The sequence below is a fragment of the Homo sapiens genome, chromosome 14 (assembly GCF_000001405.40).
Source record: "Homo sapiens chromosome 14, GRCh38.p14 Primary Assembly".
In the NCBI taxonomy this organism is placed as follows: domain Eukaryota; kingdom Metazoa; phylum Chordata; class Mammalia; order Primates; family Hominidae; genus Homo; species Homo sapiens.
In genome coordinates, this window is record NC_000014.9 from 64,852,470 (window position 1) to 64,870,582 (window position 18,113).

At 44.5% G+C, this 18,113-nt stretch overlaps 1 protein-coding gene across 6 annotated transcripts in view, besides 1 other annotated feature; it reads right to left on the reverse strand.

Moving 5' to 3' along the window:
• The window catches only part of SPTB (spectrin beta, erythrocytic), a 133,625-nt gene that overhangs the window by 106,187 nt on the left and 9,325 nt on the right, over window positions 1-18,113 (reverse strand). The window lies entirely within an intron of this gene.
• Window positions 3,564-4,131: an enhancer, noted in NCBI's record as "H3K4me1 hESC enhancer chr14:65322751-65323318 (GRCh37/hg19 assembly coordinates)". NCBI's record gives its function as "activates a minimal SCP1, AML or CMV promoter by ChIP-STARR-seq in naive H9 embryonic stem cells {active_cell/tissue: H9 hESC(naive)}" and the evidence as "EXISTENCE:reporter gene assay evidence [ECO:0000049][PMID:30033119]".

The following is an 18,113-nucleotide window of genomic DNA, read 5'->3' on the forward strand; positions in this document are numbered from 1 at the left end:
CATATGGAGTGATGGATTCAAAGGGGAAGGGACAAGATTACAGGCAGGGAACTGATTAGGATGTCACTGCAGTAACTGAGACAAGAGACGGTGTGGGCAAGACTCAGGACTTTGGTAGCCAAGATGGTGGGGAGCAATCAGCTTACAAAACTATGTAGGATACTGGTAGGTGAGTGGAAATAGCAAGTGAGAGAAAGGGAAGAGCCAAGAATGATTTCTCAAGTGGATGATGGTCCTATCAACCAAGGTAGTGATTACAAGACAAGGAGGAAGTTTAGCGGGGATAAAGGATGAGTTCAATGGGTCAGAATTTCATAGCAAGCCCTTACCCTGTGCTCACCATAATGTTAGGTGTTGGGATGCAATAATGAAGCAAAATAGACAGGCTTTCTGCTCTCGTGGTACTTTCAGTCCAGCAAGGAAGACAAATAGCCAGTGAATTATTACAAATAATTATAATTTACACATTGCAGAGTGCTGCCGAGGAGACGTATAGGTACTAGGCAAGCATTAACAGGGAGGTTTTCACTAGCTTGGGGGATGTGGGGAGGCTTCCCTGAGGAAGTAGCCTTTAAATGGATACCTATGGGACAAATAAGAGACAGGCAATGGGACAAATAAGAGACAGGCAAAGAATGGGGAAAGAGCATGTGCAAAGCCAACAGTAAAAGTCCTGGACATCCCATGGGATATCTGGGTGGAAATGCTTAACCTGAGGCTGGGTACCCAAGTCCTGAACCTGTGGAAATGAATGGCTGGAGACCAGAGAAATTTAGAGTCATTATCAGTAAATAGGTGGTAGCAGGAACACCAAAAGGGGCCAAGATTGTCCCCAAAGAGGGTTTAGGCTGCCCAGAATAGGAGCTGAGGGTGAACCCTGGAGAACCTCTTCCTCAGGATATGCCCAGGAAGCCATCAAAGAACAAAGCAATTTAGGAGATAACCATATCAGGAAGCCTCAGGGGAGGAAATTTCCAGAAGCAAGGAGCAAACAACACTGTCCCATATCCCAGAGAGCCTTAGTGATTCACAGCTGGTGACCACAGGGAGAACAGTTTCAGTAGGGCACGGGGACAAGAACCCATGGCAGCAGGGAGTGGAATAAATCAGAGTACAACGAAGAATGTAGCCCATTCCTTCAAAATGTTTGATGGGAGAGGGTATGGGGCTTTGAGGGGGAGCAGACAGGCATGCAGGGCCAAGGGACAGTTGTATTCAATGGGAAAGACCTGAACTTATCTATAGGCAAGAGTGAAACAGCAAGAGAGAGGGAAGGATTGAAGATGCAGATGTTCTGTGCAGCCCTGAAGTGTTTGGGAACATTTCTTGTGTCTACTGGCCTAGGATCTCACACATATCAGGAGCTTAGTAAAATTTAACACTTATCATTGGTATGACTCAAGAGACATTTATTAAAAATTTTTTTAGATACTTATCACTGGCCAGCCGCGGTGGCTCACGCCTGTAATCCCAGTACTTTGGGAGACCGAGGCAGGTAGATCACCTGAGGTCAGGAGTTCAAGAACAGCCTGGCCAAAATGGCAAAACCCCGGCTCTATTAAAAATACAAAAATTAGCTGGGCATGGTGGCAGGTGACTGTAATCCCAGCTACTTAGGAGGCTGAGGCAGAAGAATCACTTGAACCCAGGAGGCAGAAGTTGCAGTGAGCCAAGATCGTGCCACTGCACTCCAGCCTGGGCGACAGAGTGAGACTCCGCCTCAAAACAAAACAAAACAAAACAAACAAACAAACAAACAAAAAACCTTATCACCGGGCAAAAACAGTCAATAGTTTTCCAAACTCTTTTTTTTTTTTTTTTTTTTTTGAGATGGAGTCTCACTCTGTTGTCCAGGCTGGAGTGCAGTGGTGCGATCTTGGCTCACTGCAACCTCCGCCTCCCAGGTTCATGCCATTCTCCTGCCTCAGCCTCCCGAGTAGCTGAGACTACAGGCACCCGCCACCACGCCCCACTAATTTTTTGTATTTTTAGTAGAGATGGGGTTTCACCGTGTTAGCCAGGATGGTCTCGATCTCCTGACCTCATGATCCGCCCGCCTCCGCCTCCCAAAGTGCTGGGATTACAGGTGTGAGCCACCGCGCCCGGCCAGTTTTCCGGAATCTTGATTGGAGACAGCTCTGTCTCCACTAGATGGTCCAAATCTGGACTCTCTATATTAGTTCTGCCTCAGCTAGTCGTGTAGGATTTCCATTTGCTGGGCCAAGCTGGGCCCAGAAAACCACATGGGTGAGGGGAAGGCTCCTCGGATTACACCCCATCCCATCCTCCAGGATGCCGGCAGGCCAAGGCCTCCAAGGCCTTGCCCTTCATTGAGGGGAAAACTGAGAAACTTGGTATTATTTCCTGGTGAACAAAGTAGTAGTGCTACCTCACCCCAGAAACTCCCCTACAAATGAGTTCTCTGTGCACAGAGAGGCTGGCTGGGAAGGGCTGCTGATGCCCCTCCAATGGGCCAGGCTCCATGATCACCCCTTTCAGGAAGTGGCGCCTGAATGAGATCATCCTTGGGGCCCTTGCCCTTAATTTACGGCAACTCGCCGGAAAACAAGTGCCTTTCACAACCACTCTGTGGTCAAATGACAGCAGAGACACCTGGAACCACTTGGCTCTCTGGAAGAGAAGGGTGCCCAATGCGCCAGTTACCAGGCAAAGGGCCTCCCAACCAGTGAGGAGTGACAGACAAAATAAAAAAGCAGCAAAGCTAAGAAAAGCAAAAACAGAACGAAAGGGAAGGAAAGACAGTCAACAAGGTGTCCATGTGAAGACAAAATGTCTAGCAAGAACTATTCCTCTCGCAACAGGGTGGATCAACAGAGGACACCAGCCTAGAGATCTATTCCCAGAGTAGAATGCACTCAAAACACCATTCTTTATGAAATAGGAAAATGACACTCTAAGAAGTTATTCTTTATGGCTTGGGGAAATGAAAAAAGAGAAACCGTATTAGATAAAATATTTCCATCACAAGACACCAAATATTCATCATCCCTTGTGTTCTAACATGACTTAATTTTTTTATTATTATTATTATTTTTAAATCTTTTCATATACGTTGACCAGGCTGGTCTCGAACTCCTAGGCTCAAGCAAACCTCCCACCTTGGCCTCCTGAAAAACACAATGTAATTCCTGAGAGAAATGTGGATCTTCTTTTTAAGTGCTTCCGGATTTGGATTTTCCACTCAATTCCTCTTGTTGATATTGGAACCACAAAATTCATGAAAAATAAATATACAGCAGAGAAAGAAACTGGAGGGCTGGGGCCAGAGTGCCTGAGAGCACCAGCAGGGGAGGTGTTCCAGGCATGTGGTCTGCCTCTTCTCCACCAGATTGCCTTAGAGGAGCCTCTCTCGAGCCTCCACCCCTTCCTGTAGGGCTGGAGCAGGAGGCTGGCATCACAGCACCAGGCACTCTGGTAGGACACCTGCTCAGTGCCACTGAGAGGCTCACAGGGCTGGGCTGCAGTGCAGAGCTGCGGAAGCACTGGCTGAAGCCCAGGCTCCGGCCCGAGGAGTGAGGCCTGGCAGATGGCAAGGACACACACAGCCCAGCTGGCCCCAAGCCTCCTTGCCTGGTTCAGGGGAGGGAAGAAATGGGAGGAAAAGAGGTTAAGAAAAAGTGGAGGTTTCAGAAAAGAAAGCAATGTGCTAATGCTGGGTTCTGTAGCTCCTGCTGGCTTAAGCAGACAAAGCACAGTAAGGCCCAGAAGGCTGTCTCTCCAGGAATCTCGCTTCAGTTTTACAAGGCAGCTCACTTCCTGAGAAAGGAGCTTCCCAACGCTCATGTTAAAGGCCAAGAGTCCTTCCCAAACCTCCCTCACCAGGACTCTTCACAGCTGCCACCTGAGAGGGAGGATCCTTCTGTAGGGAGAGAGGAGCTCACTGCTAAGTTCCTCTTCTTCCATGAGACTATCCACATTCTCAGAACAGCTGAGCTGCCCCTGAGCCATCAGCATCATGCCCCTAAGATGCTTAGCCAAGTTCAGCAAGGAAGCAAGAGTTTCAAGGTTTGGAAGGGAAAATTCAGTCCTGCTAACTTTGGGATGCTCTGGGCAAGTCATCTTCCTCACCAAGCCTTCTTCCATTTGAAAAGGAAGAGATGATACTACCCAACTTGCCTGCAAATGGATTAGCCAGGGCAAACTTTGCAAATCAAATGCCTTTGCATTCATTAACGCCTCCCAGGCAGAACGTACCCTCCCTAGGGCAATGAAATGTTCCCAAGGTTTACGGAGCTCAGAAACTCTCAAGGGAGAAGGGCGGGAGTCCTCAAGAATTTGTTTCTTGTTTGGTCTCAGAGGAGGGCAACTAAGCCCCAAGTGTGGGAGAGCTGCTGTTACAGGCCACAAGGAAGGATGGCTCCAGAGAAAACACAAGTGACAGCTGCTGCTGACATGTTTGAGACCTTGGACAAGTTCACTGCCTCTGTGGGAAGGGAACAAAGTTCTTGATTTTCCTCTGAGACTCAAAGAAAATTTGAGTCCATGCTTTAATTTCCTTATCATTTGTTCATATGGTCCTGTGAAACCCTTTGAGGGATTAGCACCAGAAACCAGTAAAGACTGGACTCCAAACCAAGTAACCCCAGAATGCTGCGTATGAAACCCCAAAATGCAGCATGTGACCGCAATACACAAATTTGATAGTGAGGGTACCAGAGAACTATTGCCATATTAATCTATAGCAAACCCTCAAATGAACTGCTGAAGTCTTGGATTAGAAAGCCTTTGGTGCATATTTGTGGCAATAATGAAACCACAAAGAGCATCATCCAGCACAACTGCTGGATCTAGGAGAGAAAAAACAATCCCGGGCCGGACACAGTGGCCCACGCTTATAATCCTGACACTTTGGGAGGCCGAGGCGGGAATATCACTTGAGCCTAGGAGTTTGAGACCAGCCTGGGCAATATGGTGAGACCCCATCTTTATAAACATTTAAAAATTAGCCATGCATGGTGGTATGCATGTATAGTCCCAGCTACTTGGCTGAAGTGGGAGGATCACTTGAGCCCATGAAGTTGAGGCTGCAGTGAGCCATAATCACACCACTGCACTCCAGCCTGGGCGACAGAGCAAGACACTGCCTCAAAAAAAAAAAAAAAAAAAAAAAAAAAATCCTGATTCTGGAAATCATTTGGGGTGAATGGGAACAGCTATTCTCTGAAAAATATAAATTATTTCTAGCACAAGGGACTTCAAGAAAATATCTAAGTTCTTGTTCTAAATTGTTGTTTTATTAATTACTCTATTTACTATTGCTAGAAAGATGGGAACTGCTGGCAAAGATATTTATGTTCAAAATTGTAAATCATTATGGGATCCATTTCTAATAGGACCTTGGATACATCAATTCTTTGATCCCTTATAACACATAATGAGATCTGCTAAAAAGCAACAAATTTGCAAAAGAGAAACTGAGCTATAATGACAACAGTAGCTAGCATTTTTGTTCACCCGTCATGTGCCAGGCATCTGACACACATTTTTATCCACAGCATAGCACAATCCTATCTGCAAGGTGGGTATTATTTATTCTTCCCATTTTACTGAGGAGGAAAATGAAGATCAGAAAGATTAAATTACCTGCTGTGGCCACACAGCTAGCAAGTGTTAGAACCTGGATTTGAAGCCAGGTCAGACCGTAGCCAAAGCATGTAGTCTCTGCCACACCACACAGCAGGAGTTTCTACTACAAATGAAGTCACCTCACGAGGAACGGAAATTTACTACTCACGGTGCAGTAAACAGAGGGTGCAGGTAAGAGCTAGGTAACATGGAGTAAAGAGGCTGCTGCAGCAGCGGTGTTAAACTTGATTCTTATTTAGATCCTTTAAAGGGTAGGGCAAGTACTTGGGAAAGCAGTAGATTTAATACATTTTGCAGAGATGATAGGTGAAGGCAGCAGATACTAAGAAAGGCACCATCTAGAGAAACTAGAAATTCGAGCAGGTATGAAATGAGAACACAGTCAGGAGCAGTAGGAGGCCCTGCTGTGGGGAAGGGAAGCGAGCAGAGCCTGGACAACCACAGGTGACTGGAAGAAGAGAGGAGAGAGACAGCGGAAGCTGCAACTGGACACCAAGTGAGTAGGAGAAAGCAGGGAGAGAAGGAAGGAAAAGAAGACAGGAAAGGAGGGAAGAAGGGGGAAACGCCAAACAAATGACAGTGGCATTTGGTCTAAGTACGCATCCCAGTAAAAGGCTGGTGCCTGGACCCTGCCTGGGAGAAGGGGAAGGTGACGTCCTGGGCTACAGGAAAGGTCTGTCTGCCTGTTAGAAGAGGATGTCAGGAGAGCATCAGGGGAATCTTGGGGCTCAGCCTTCCCTTTCCTCAGTAAAAATGGCCTCATTTTACCAGCTGCCTTAGCTTAAACAGACTATGCACCTCTAGCAGTTTAGAAATAGCTCTGTATTACTGGTTAGAGCAAAAGCCAAATAAAAAAACAGAAACAACCTAATCAGGCATCATTTTAAAATTGGTTAAATAGGCCAGGTGCAATGGCTTACACCTGTAATCCCAGCACTTTGGGAGGTTGAGGCAGGTGGAGCACTTGAGGTCAGGAGTTCAAAACCAGCCTGGTCAACATGGCAAAACCCCATCTCTACACAAAAAAATTAGCCAGACGTGGTGGCACGTGCCTATAGTCCCAGCTACTCCAGAGGCTGAGGCACGAGAATCGCTTGAACCCAGGAGACGGAGGTTGCAGTGAGCCAAGATCGCACCACTACACTCTAGTCTGGGCGACAGAGCGAGACTCCGTCTCAGAAGAAAAAATAAATAAATAAAATAAAACTGGTTAAATAAAGTATGGTTCTTCCCTATCATGAAATATAGTGGAACAATTTTGAATGAGGTAAGTCTATAGGTATGCATATGCGGAAAGATGATCTTTATATATTGCTAAGTTAAACAACGTAAGCTGTTAAATAGTATTAAACTATAGAACATTTTCAGTAAAAATAAATAGCAATTGGCCAGCCGTGGTGGCTCATGCCTGTAATCCCAGCACTTTGGGAGACTGAGGCAGGCAGATTGCTTGAGCTGAGGAGTTTGAGACCAGTCTGGACAACATAAGAAAACCCATCTCTACTAAAAATTCAAAAATTAGCCAGCTGTGGTAGTGCATACCTGTGGTCCTAGTTATTTGGGAGGCTGAGGTGGGTGGATCACTTGAGCCCAGGGAGACTCTGTCTCTCTCTCTCTGTCTCTCTCTCTCTCTCTCTCTCTCTCTATATATATATATATATGCATATAATTAGTATATGTATAAAAGAATATGGAGGAATATGCATCAAATTATGGTCCATGATTATCTGAGGGCTAAGAAAGGTGGATGATGAAGAACTTTCATTTTCTATGGTCTGTATTTCTGTAATATTTTACATTAGTAAAACTTTGTATTACATTTGTGATCAGAAAAAAAAAAATTAAGTGTTTCTGAAAAGACTGTGAATAAAAAGTTAAATCTCCCACCACATCTCAATGAGAAAAGGTAAAATTGCCTAAAACTTGAAGTCAGGTGCTTCCAACTGAATAAAATACTTTTCCCCCCTAGAATCTAAGAGAATTGCAGCAAATATGGCCTGATCCTTGAGCTTCTGACCTTCCCAAAAATAGTTTGGGATGGCAGGAGCTGGACTTCTTAGCAAAGAGTCCTCCTATTCACTGGGCAAGAAGGCAATCCCCCAGTGACATGAACCAAGCAAAGAAAGTATATTCACACCCAGAGAACTTTCAGGAAACAAGATCCTCTTATCACCATCAACCGGGAGTCTCATCTTTCACCCACTCATTGAATGAGCCCTTTTGTTTCCCCTAAAGGATCGTCATATATTCTTTCCCTGCTTCTACAGAACATCCTGGTGCCCCAGAATGGGGCACTGAGAGGCACAGGAGGAGTCCCAGTAAAAACTCAGTTGTCCACATTTCCAAGAGAAACAGGACCTGAGAGGGCAGGGCTCTGAGAAAAGGGAAGGAACACCCAGGTAGGCGCACATGTGTGGAAGCCAGGTCTGTGTTTTTTTTTTTATAACTATGCTTCAAAACTTACATGTGTGTGACTTATATTCTCATCCATATATCATATATCCCACAGTAGGACACTAAAAAAGAAAAAAGGATCGAGCCTGCCTCAGAACATTGTAGGACAGGTGCAATAAGTTCATCAGTCTGTCAACAAACACATCCTCAGTGCCAGGCACTGCTCTATCCACAAATAATAAGCACTGAACAAAAAGTCCCTGCCCTAAAGAAATAGGAATGCTTTTACGATGTTGGTGGGAATGTAAATTAGTTCAACCATTGTGGAAGACAGTGTGGCGATTCCTAAAGGATCTAGAACCAGAAATACCATTTGATCCAGCAATCTCATTACTGGGTATATACCTATAGGAATATAAATCATTCCTCTATAAAGACACATGCACATGTATGTTTATTGCAGCACTATTTACAATACCAAAGACATGGAACCAACCCAAATGCCTGTGAAAATGTGGTACATATACACCATGGAATACTATGCTGCTATAAAAAGGAATGAGATCATGTCTTTTGCAGGGACTTGGATGAAGCTGGAAGCCATTATCCTCAGCAAACTAACACAGGAGCAAAAAACCAAACACCGCATGTTCTCACTCATAAGTAGGAATTGAACATTGAGAACGCATGGACACAGAGAGGGGAACAACACACACCAGGGCCTATCGGGGGTTGGGGGTGAGGGGAGGGAACTTAGAGGACAGGTCAATAGGTGCAGCAAACCACCATGGCACATGTATACCTATGTAACAAACCTGCACGTTCTGTGCATGTATCCCATTTTTTTTAGAAGAAGAAATAAAGGAGAAAATAAAAGTGTCCCTGCCCTTGACAGCATACACTCAAGCCTCATATAAGTGGGGAATGCCACAGGGCCACCTATCATGGTTCTTTGTATGTGACAGGGCTCGGCAAGTGTTCTCGAAATGATACTGTGCATCTACAGCAGGGCACACACGTGGCTGCACTGACCGGCTCCCCCACCCACTTGATGCTTTCCAGCCTCCCAGAGATTTCCAGCATCTACCAACCCTTTCTCCATCCCTAGCTACCTCAGCATCCCCACTTTCTTTCCAAGGAATCTCCATCCTCTTGGCCTAAAAATCATGTTATTCACTGCACAAAACTTCCCTTGACCTCTCTCTCAAACCATCAAGTTCTCAGAAAAGCAATCTGCATTCATTGTCTTCTGCTCCTCGCCACGGCTTTCCTCTGTAGTTCCTGATCATCGAGTTTCATGCCTCCACGAAAATTGCTTTCTTGAGGGTCACTTGAGCCTCTTCCAAGGCTAACAGCCTTCACGTACTCCTTTCCGACGTTAGACACGATTAACCATCCTTTTCTCAAAGCTGAATTTCCACGGCCTTGGATTCTCCTGGCTCTTCATCCTCATTGTGCTGTGATATCACAATCACATTTACTAGATTCTCTTCCTACACCCACCCCTTCAATGTTGGCATTACCCAAAGTTAAGGCCTCTCTTCTCTCATGTGATCCTTTCCCCTTTCTGTGCTGAGAGCTGTCAAATCGACACCCCCAGCCCAGCCCCTCCTGGGCTCAACTTGCTACAGCAGCTCCACAGAACACGCTGCAGCTGCTTCCCACTTAACACAGTTAACACTGAATTCTTTCTTTGTACCTCCTCCCTACTCCCAGGGTGCCTCTTTCTTTTAAGACTTTAATCTCAGTAAATTAGCAACAGCAACCTCCTAGATACCTGAGCTAGAAAACTCCAGCCACTCTCAGCGGCTCTCTCCCTCCCCTCAAGTGCCAGTGGGCACCACACACCTACAAGTTTTTTAAGAACCTGCAAAAATGCTTTAAGACTTGAAAAATACTATAAATACAAAATTAAGATCATATAATCAAAATTAAGAATAATTCTAAAATGCTTTCAAATATTTCCGAGAACAAAAATGTTTTATTAGCCTGGGTAACGCAGTGAGACCCCATCTCTGTAAAAACATTTTTGTTCTTGGAAATATTTGAAAGGATTTTAGAATTATTCTTAATTTTGATTATATGATCTTAATTTTGTGTCCACTGGCACTTAAGGTGGTGGCCTGGGCGCGGTGCCTCACAACTGTAATCCCAGCACTTTGGGAGGCCGAGGTGGGCAGATAACCTGAGGTCAGGAGTTCAAGACCAGCCTGGCCAACATGGTGAAACCCCGTCTCTACTAAAAATACGAAAAATTAGCTGGGCGTGGTGTTGGGCGCCTGTAATCCCAGCTACTAGAGAGGCTGAGGCAGGAGAATCACCTGAATGCAGGAGGCGGAGGTTGCAGTGAGACTCTGTCACAAAACAAACAAAAAGCTAAAACAAATAAACAACAATAACAACAAAAAAAAACCACACCCCATGATATTTAATATGGGATATTGGCAAATTTGAATATCTTTGGTCCTTTATGTGGTAGGGCCTGAAAATACTGACGCTGGATCCTACCTCACATAGAAAGTACAGATACCAGATACTCTGACTTCTCAGAAGCTCTTGAATTCACCACCTCCCTTCCATTCCTACTGCCCTGGTTTAGACCCTCTTGAGTCCTTTGTTATATTTCTGCAGGGTGTCCTAAAACATAGCTGGTTGTATGTCACTCCCCTGTTAGAAAGTTTTGATGGTGCCCCAAGATCTGGGTCCCTGGTCAAAACCAATCTTGGCTTCCTGTAGACCAGGGGTGTCCAATCTTTTGGCTTTCCTGGGCTGGACTGGAATAATTGTCTTGGGCTACACATAAAATACACTAACACTAATGATAGCTGATGAGCGAAAAAAAAAATTGCAAAAGATTCTCATAACGTTTTTTAAAAGTTTATGAATTTATGTTGGGCCACATTCAAAGTTGCCCTGGGCCACATGCAGCCCACAGGCCATGGGTTAAACAAGCTTGTGTAGACCCTGGAGCATTCTGCAGCCAGCCCCACAATGGCACCTACCTGGCTCCACTTTGTGTCATGCTACAAACCTCTCAAGAGCAGAGAACTGTGCCTTAGCCAATGACCTCTTTGTTTTCCACGCAGCCTAGCATATAACAGGCAATAACATGTCCTGAGGAGCAGCTGCTTCTTGTCCCCACCTCCCTGCATCATTTCTGTCTCTGCTCCACCGCTACTTGGTCCTCCATGTCATTGCTGTGCACATAGTAGATTCTAGGTCTTAACTAGCCAAACTTGAAAGCCATTAAAAAATGCTTGGTTTCAATTCACCATAACCATTCTCCCTAGTGTCCTAGATTTCAGACAGTGAGAATAGCATCGGCTTTTGGGTCAAGTAGATCTGGCTATAAATCTGAAGTCAGGCACTTAATTGACTGTGTGAATCAAAGCAAACTTCGCTTGACTAGCCTTAGCCTCCTCATCAGTAAAATGGCAATTACAATATCACACTGAATGGACTATTGTGAGAATTAAATGAGTGAAGGTATTTGAAGCCCTAGCATGGCAGCTGGCATATGACAGGGGCCCATAAGTACATAGCATCAGCAAATAGAAGCAGAGTCTCAGATTTCTCATATTATTACTTTGGCATCATGAATTCAGGACTCAAATTCCATGGTGCTGCTTATAATTCTGAAACTCATCATGAAGAGATAGAAGGAGCATAAGATATTACACAGCTGATAAGAATGAAATAGGTCAGGCCAGGCATGGTAGCTCATGCCTGTAATCCCAACACTTTGGGAGGCCAAGGTGGGAGGATCACTTGAGCCCAGGAGTTCAAGACAAGCCTGGGCAACATAATGAGACTTCATCTCTTAAAAAAAAAGGCCAGGTGTGGTGGTGCATGCCTGTAGTCCTAGCTACATAAGAGGCTGAGGCAGAAAAATCACTTGAGCCCAGGAGTTCAGGGATGCAGTGAGCTATGATTGCATCACTGTGCTTCAGCCTGGGCAACAGAGCAAGACCCCATCTCAAAAACAGAAAAATGAAAGAGGTAAACCTCTATGTCCTAATATGGAAAGACGTCCAAGGTGTTTCATCATTAAGCCAAAAGGACAAGTTACAATGTAGTATGAAAAAATAAATGACCACAGCATACACATAGATACATATATATACCTACACAAACACATATCTGTATCTATGTGTATATGTCTACATGTGCCTGGAAAATCTCTAGAGAATAGACAAGAAATTGTTAATAGTTGTTACCTGTGCCTCTTCGCAGTAATAAGTCTAGGAGTGCCATTTATACTCTTTGGTACTGTCTGAATTATTTTTACCCTGGGTAAAAATAACATGTTCGTGTTATAATTTCTAAAAACTGGTTTTTAAAAAGTTATAGAAGATGAAGAAGGAGAGGGAAGGAGAGATACAGGCAGGAAAGAAGGTCTGGACCATGGATCAGGAGACCAGGGTTTCACTCAAGAGTCCTGCACTGACTATGCAAGCTCATGCCAATAACTCCCCTCTGGATCTCCTTTATTGGTAAAATAAGGGAGCTGAACAAGATGCTCTTCAGGGACAATTTCCATTAGATAATGTTTGCAAGATGCTTGGAGTAGATTTTATCTATATAACATCTCTCTTTGATGAGTCTTGATGCTTTAAGCATCAGGTCTTAGAGAAAGGACAATGTATACACGATTTCATTTTGACCCCCTTCACATTTCAGTGAGAAAGCATTCCCACCGTCTTACAGACAGAGAAACCAAGTATAGACTGTAATGATCACTTGCCAACAAAATACACTGCTCACCAGACTCTGCTGCTCACAAAGAATTACGACTGCCAGGAGTTTTATAGCTCCCAATTCATTCTGTGCCTCTTCTGCAGAGGAGGCACACAGCTTATGCAAAACAAGCAGAAGGCACTCTACGCTGGTAGAAGCAGGGTGAGATGTAAAGTGACTTCCTCTGGGTCAGAGCATAAACAAAGCTCACTCCCAGCATATTTAGAAGTATTGAACCCTTGGGATCAACTCCGCATCCCTCCCCCACCTGGACTGAAAGCTTCACCTTGAAGATGCGTTTCACTGCAGTCATTTTCTGAGCGTTTTCTGGGTCAGATGCGGTGAGAGCAGCTAAACCAAGGCTGCCATTGGAGTTGCTACATTGAGGACACTGTACTGAGTACCAACTCTACCATGCACCCACTGGGCTCACCAGCGACCATGGTAAGAAGGGCCTGGCTAGCCTAGATCCATGGAGTGCTCTTTCAGTCTCCTGGGCAAAGTGACTTCGCACAGCTTTGAAACACAAATGACCCAGTTTGCCCTCACGGGTATAGGTCTCTGCCTTGCAGAGGATACTGGCTTCCTCTCCCAGAGCAGCTGCTTTGATTCTACCATCTTACTTCACTCCCCGTACCTGCAAACACCTTCATTCCTCCCATCACTTCACACCGTAAAGAACCCTCCTGCGTCAAGTTTAGGTTGAACATTTGGGCATCAAGATTTCCCAACAGTTCCAGAAAGCGGTTACAGAATGTAAACACCCACCTTGCAGAGAAAGGCAGAGCCTGCTCTACTGACTCTATAAGCAGCAACCTGGATTTTAAATGAGAAAAACAGAGACCATGGTGTGGCTAAAATACCACAAAGTAAAACATCTATGAAATGAATAAGACTGTTCACTCAAAGAGCATGCAGTGAGGCCACTAACTAGTAGTCAGCCTACTGGTGACCTTCACTATGGCACCTAGTAATCCTCGAGATGGGGTGATGATCACTAGCATTCATGACATTCCAGAGCTTCTAGAAGCTGCTAGTTGTTTATCCTACCCTCACTGTCAGCTCTCCATCGAGTTTGCTGACTGTTGTCTGCTTATCGCTGGCCTCAGGACACCCGTAAGAGCTCAATGGGGTCTTCAGTTGTCTTGGCCAAGCCCGTTCCTCTGTCTCGCTGCCCTCAGGTCCCTCTCACAAGGCCTAACTTTGTCCCCTGCCCTTCTTTATCCCAGGCACATCTTGCCAAGGCCTTTGAGGGCCTTCCGCTTATCAGTTCATCTCAGACCCCACCACATACTCAGAGGCCTCGTAGCTCCACTCACCGCCTCTGGAAGTTAAATACCAGCTCCTATCAGTCACTGGGTGCAGGACGAGGCAGGAGAAGAGAGCGGCTGGATTGCAGTGGGAGTGCATCCATGACAGAGAGTTTTGTTGAAAGGAACAAAACATGCTCAGAGGCCTGAGCAAGCAGAATTCGGGTGAGTCCAGCCGTTGGTGAGGCTCACTTTTTGTCCGGGTAAGGCAGAAATGAGGGCAGAACAAGCCAACCAAAAAATACTGTAATATATTACAAGGTAGTTCCTACTTTGACATGCCTTAAGGACAAACAATAAACAGATTAACTGTACCCAGAAAAATAAAACCTCTATACAGGAATTTTCAGTCTTTTTTTTCTGAAGTGCTTTTCTTAACTCTTTATTGTTATGAAACAAATCTTGTGTCCGTGGATCTGAAACGCCCACTCAAAGAGCCTTTCATAGCTGCATTCTGAGGGTCAGCTTCAAACATTCACTGAAAAATGAGGTGGGAGTGACTGTATTCTGGATGAATAAATTTTTCTAGCAATAGACATATCTGACGATGTAAGTTAAAATCAGCCGTTACTTGTTCCTCCGATAAATGGGAAACGGTGGAGAATATAGAGGTGGAAGACAGCCTCCACTCAAGTCTAAAGCAATCCTCTTCCCTCCTCACCTCCGTCCCATCCATAGTGTCTTCCATTAGCCCCTCTTCATAATCTTCTATAGGTCATTAATTTCTGGATTATTTACAGTGCCTAATATTCTTGAAACCTCCCTCTATCACCCAATTCAACTTGTTTCTTGAGCACTGCACATAAGCCAGGCCCTGAGTTGGGCACGAGTGTCCCCAAGGACATCAGACACTGTCTCTTCCTCAAGGAACTCATAATCTAGAGGTGAGTCAGGTCTGTCCATGACCAGCCAGGCTACAGCGTGGACAGCAAAAGAGGAAGGAATGTGTGTCTTCTGGGGTCACAGAAGAGGGAAAGAAGTTTCAGGAGAGCTTCAAATAGGGGTTATAGCTGATGGGGGTCTTAAGGCATATATGTGTAAGAGTTCATGGCTGTGCTGGGTGCGGAGGCTTATGCCTGTAATCCCAGCACTTTGGGAGACCGAGGCGGGCACATCACCTGAGGTCAGGAGTTCGAGACCAGCCTGGCCAACATGGCGAAACCCCGTCTCTACTAAAAATACAAAAATTACCCGGGCATGGTGGCGGGCACCTGTAATCCCAGCCACTCGGGAGGCTGAGGCAGGAGAATCACTTGAACCCGGAAGGTGGAGGCTGTAGTGAGCCGAGATCATGCCACTGTACTCCAGCCCTCTGGCCTGGGCAACAGGGTGACTCTGTCTCAAAAAAAAAAAAAAAAAAAAAAAAAAAGAGTTCATGGCTGAGGAAAGAGAAGAAAGATTCTAGGCATAGAAAAAGTGGCAGCAAAGTCATGGAGGCAGGAAAATGAGCCTGAAGTTGAGCAAGTCCCAAGCATCCAAGGCAAGATAATGGAGAAGGAATAAAGCTAGGAAGAGAGGTCGGAACAGATTGTGGAGGCCCGTGCCTGCCCCTTTACACTTCATTTTGGGGCAATGGGGAACCATTGAGGGTTTTAAAGCAGTAGAATGACTCAGTCAGACTTAGGTTTTTAAAAATAATTCTGAGGTCAGGGTGTGGGATGGGTTAGAAAGGTAGAGACTGAAGGCCTAAAGGCCAATTATTATTCAAACATAAGAATAGTGACAGTGGAAATTAAAAGAAAGAAACTAATTTGAAAATTTTAGAGGAAAAACAAGCAGCCAAGTAGATGTGGAAGTATGGGGGGGAAAAGAAAGACCAAAAATGGTGTGAGATTCTTACTTGGGGGGATGGTGACAACATGAACCTAGCTATAAAAAAAAACAAGGCAGAAAAGCAGATTTGGAGTGAAGAAGGGAGGCAAGAAGTCCCAGGATGACATGGTGAGCTTGAGACATCTCTACAGAAGCAAATAAGGACAGCAGCAGACTGCTGTGAAGCTGATCTGGGACTGAGGAGGAGGTCAGACTAGAGATAAAGATTCAGACCTATTGGCAATCCCAACAAGTAAAAGCTGGCAGAGAGGAAGGAACAGCAGCAAATGCAGCAGCAGTGGTAAACAAGCTAGGAGGGAAAAAAGGAGGGCCCAGGTCACAGAAGCCCAGAGAGGGCAGAGGTTCAATGGGAGACTGGTCAAATGTTGTGGAGAAGTTGGAAACCTCGGGTATGGAAGGAGGCTATTGCATTTGACAATAATTCCGACCTTTTCTAAAGCGGTTTTGGTACAGCTGCCTTATGAGAGTGGGTATATTGTGCAGTACTAATTAGCATCTCCATCCTTAGATGTCAAATAACTACATTGGAAGTAGGATTCAGAACATTAATTATTTATTAAAAGCTAATAAGGGGATTCAAGTCTATTAGGTTTAGTCATTGCAAATATAAAGCAATATATAAAGGTATGCAACTAATTACCTCTGTAATTTCAAATCATTAAAGATGCAGGATTAAAAAAAAAAAAAAGAAACGCTGAGAATTAAGAGTCATGTAGTGTTGGCTTCCACCCCAATATGAGCAGGCACAGTGGTTCAAAGCAAGCACTCTAGAATAAACACACATGGGTTCAAGTCCAGCTATTACCTTACTTGGTGGGTATTCATGGGTAAGTTAACTTTTCCAAGTCTGATTGTAAATAATAAATACACATGAAAACTCTCAGCATAGTGCTTACCACATAACTTTCTCAATAAATGTTGACTTACTGTTATAATAAACTTATTAGCATAACAATGCCTTGTATCCAAGTTAAAATTATATGAACTTAGTTACGTGTAATTTCAAACATTCATTCTTTAATTTTTTATGAGCTCCACACTCTAACCAACTGAGCTAACTGGCCACATGATTCTTTATTCTTTTTTAAATTTTTAATTAATATATTTATTTTGAGATGGGGTCTCACTTTGTAGTCCAGGCTGGAGTTCAGTGGCATGATCGTAGCTCACTGCAGCCTTGAACTCCTGGGCTCAAGCAATCCTCTGGCCTCAGCCTCCTAAACAGCTGGGACTACAGGTGTGAGCCACTGTGCTTGGTCAGATTTTTTAAATTTTTTTTTTTTTTTTTTGAGACAGGGTCTCAATCTGTCACCCAGGCTGGAATGTAGTGGCACAATCATGGCTCACTGCAGCCTCAACTTTCCTGGGCTCACGTGATTCTCCCACCTTAGCCTCCTGAGTAGCTGGAACTACAGGCACGTGCCACGATGCCCTGCTTTTTTTTTTTTCTTTTTAATTTTTGTAGAGACAGGTCTTGCTATGTTGTCCAGGCTGGTCTCAAACTCCTGGGCTCAAGCGATCTGCCCACCTCAGCCTCCTAAAGTGCTGGGATTATAGGCATGAGCTGATGTTTCCAGCCTAATTTTTTAATCAACAAATATTTCTGAGCCACTCCCCTCCATGTATAAAACATGGCTCTAGGTGCAGAGGTTTTGTTTTGTTTTGTTTTTAAGCATGAGACTCAGTTCCCCATTGCAAGAAGCTTGAACTAACAGTGTAGAAGGCAAGTTGACAATTACAAAACAAGATGATCCACCTGTAAGAAAGGAGTGAAAAGGGTACTGTAAAAATACAAAGGAGGAAGCAATCAGCGCTACCCCAGGACCTGGTAAGGAAGAGGGGCTGTCAGGCAAGGTTACAAAGAGAAGGCAACATGTAAGTTTTACAGAGGAATCCACAAGGAAAATTTTAAGGATAATAATAAATGTTAAGGCACCATCACAATCACACACACAAAAAGCCCTGAAAAAAAAAAAGTCAGAGAAAGAGGAAGTTCTTCACCCAAGGGCAAACAGCAAGAGGAAAGGAGCTGGAAGCAACCCAGACTCTTGTCATCCAGCTCAAGGAGATTTTTTAGCTGAAATAAAACATCGCATAATATTTACACCCTTCCCCACCTGAGCTTGGGCTACATGCTCTACAAAGCAAATTAAACATCACCTGCCTGTCCTCTAAAAGTCTACAATCTAAAAACAGGCACACTAATAAATGAACAAATTCAAGAACTTTGAT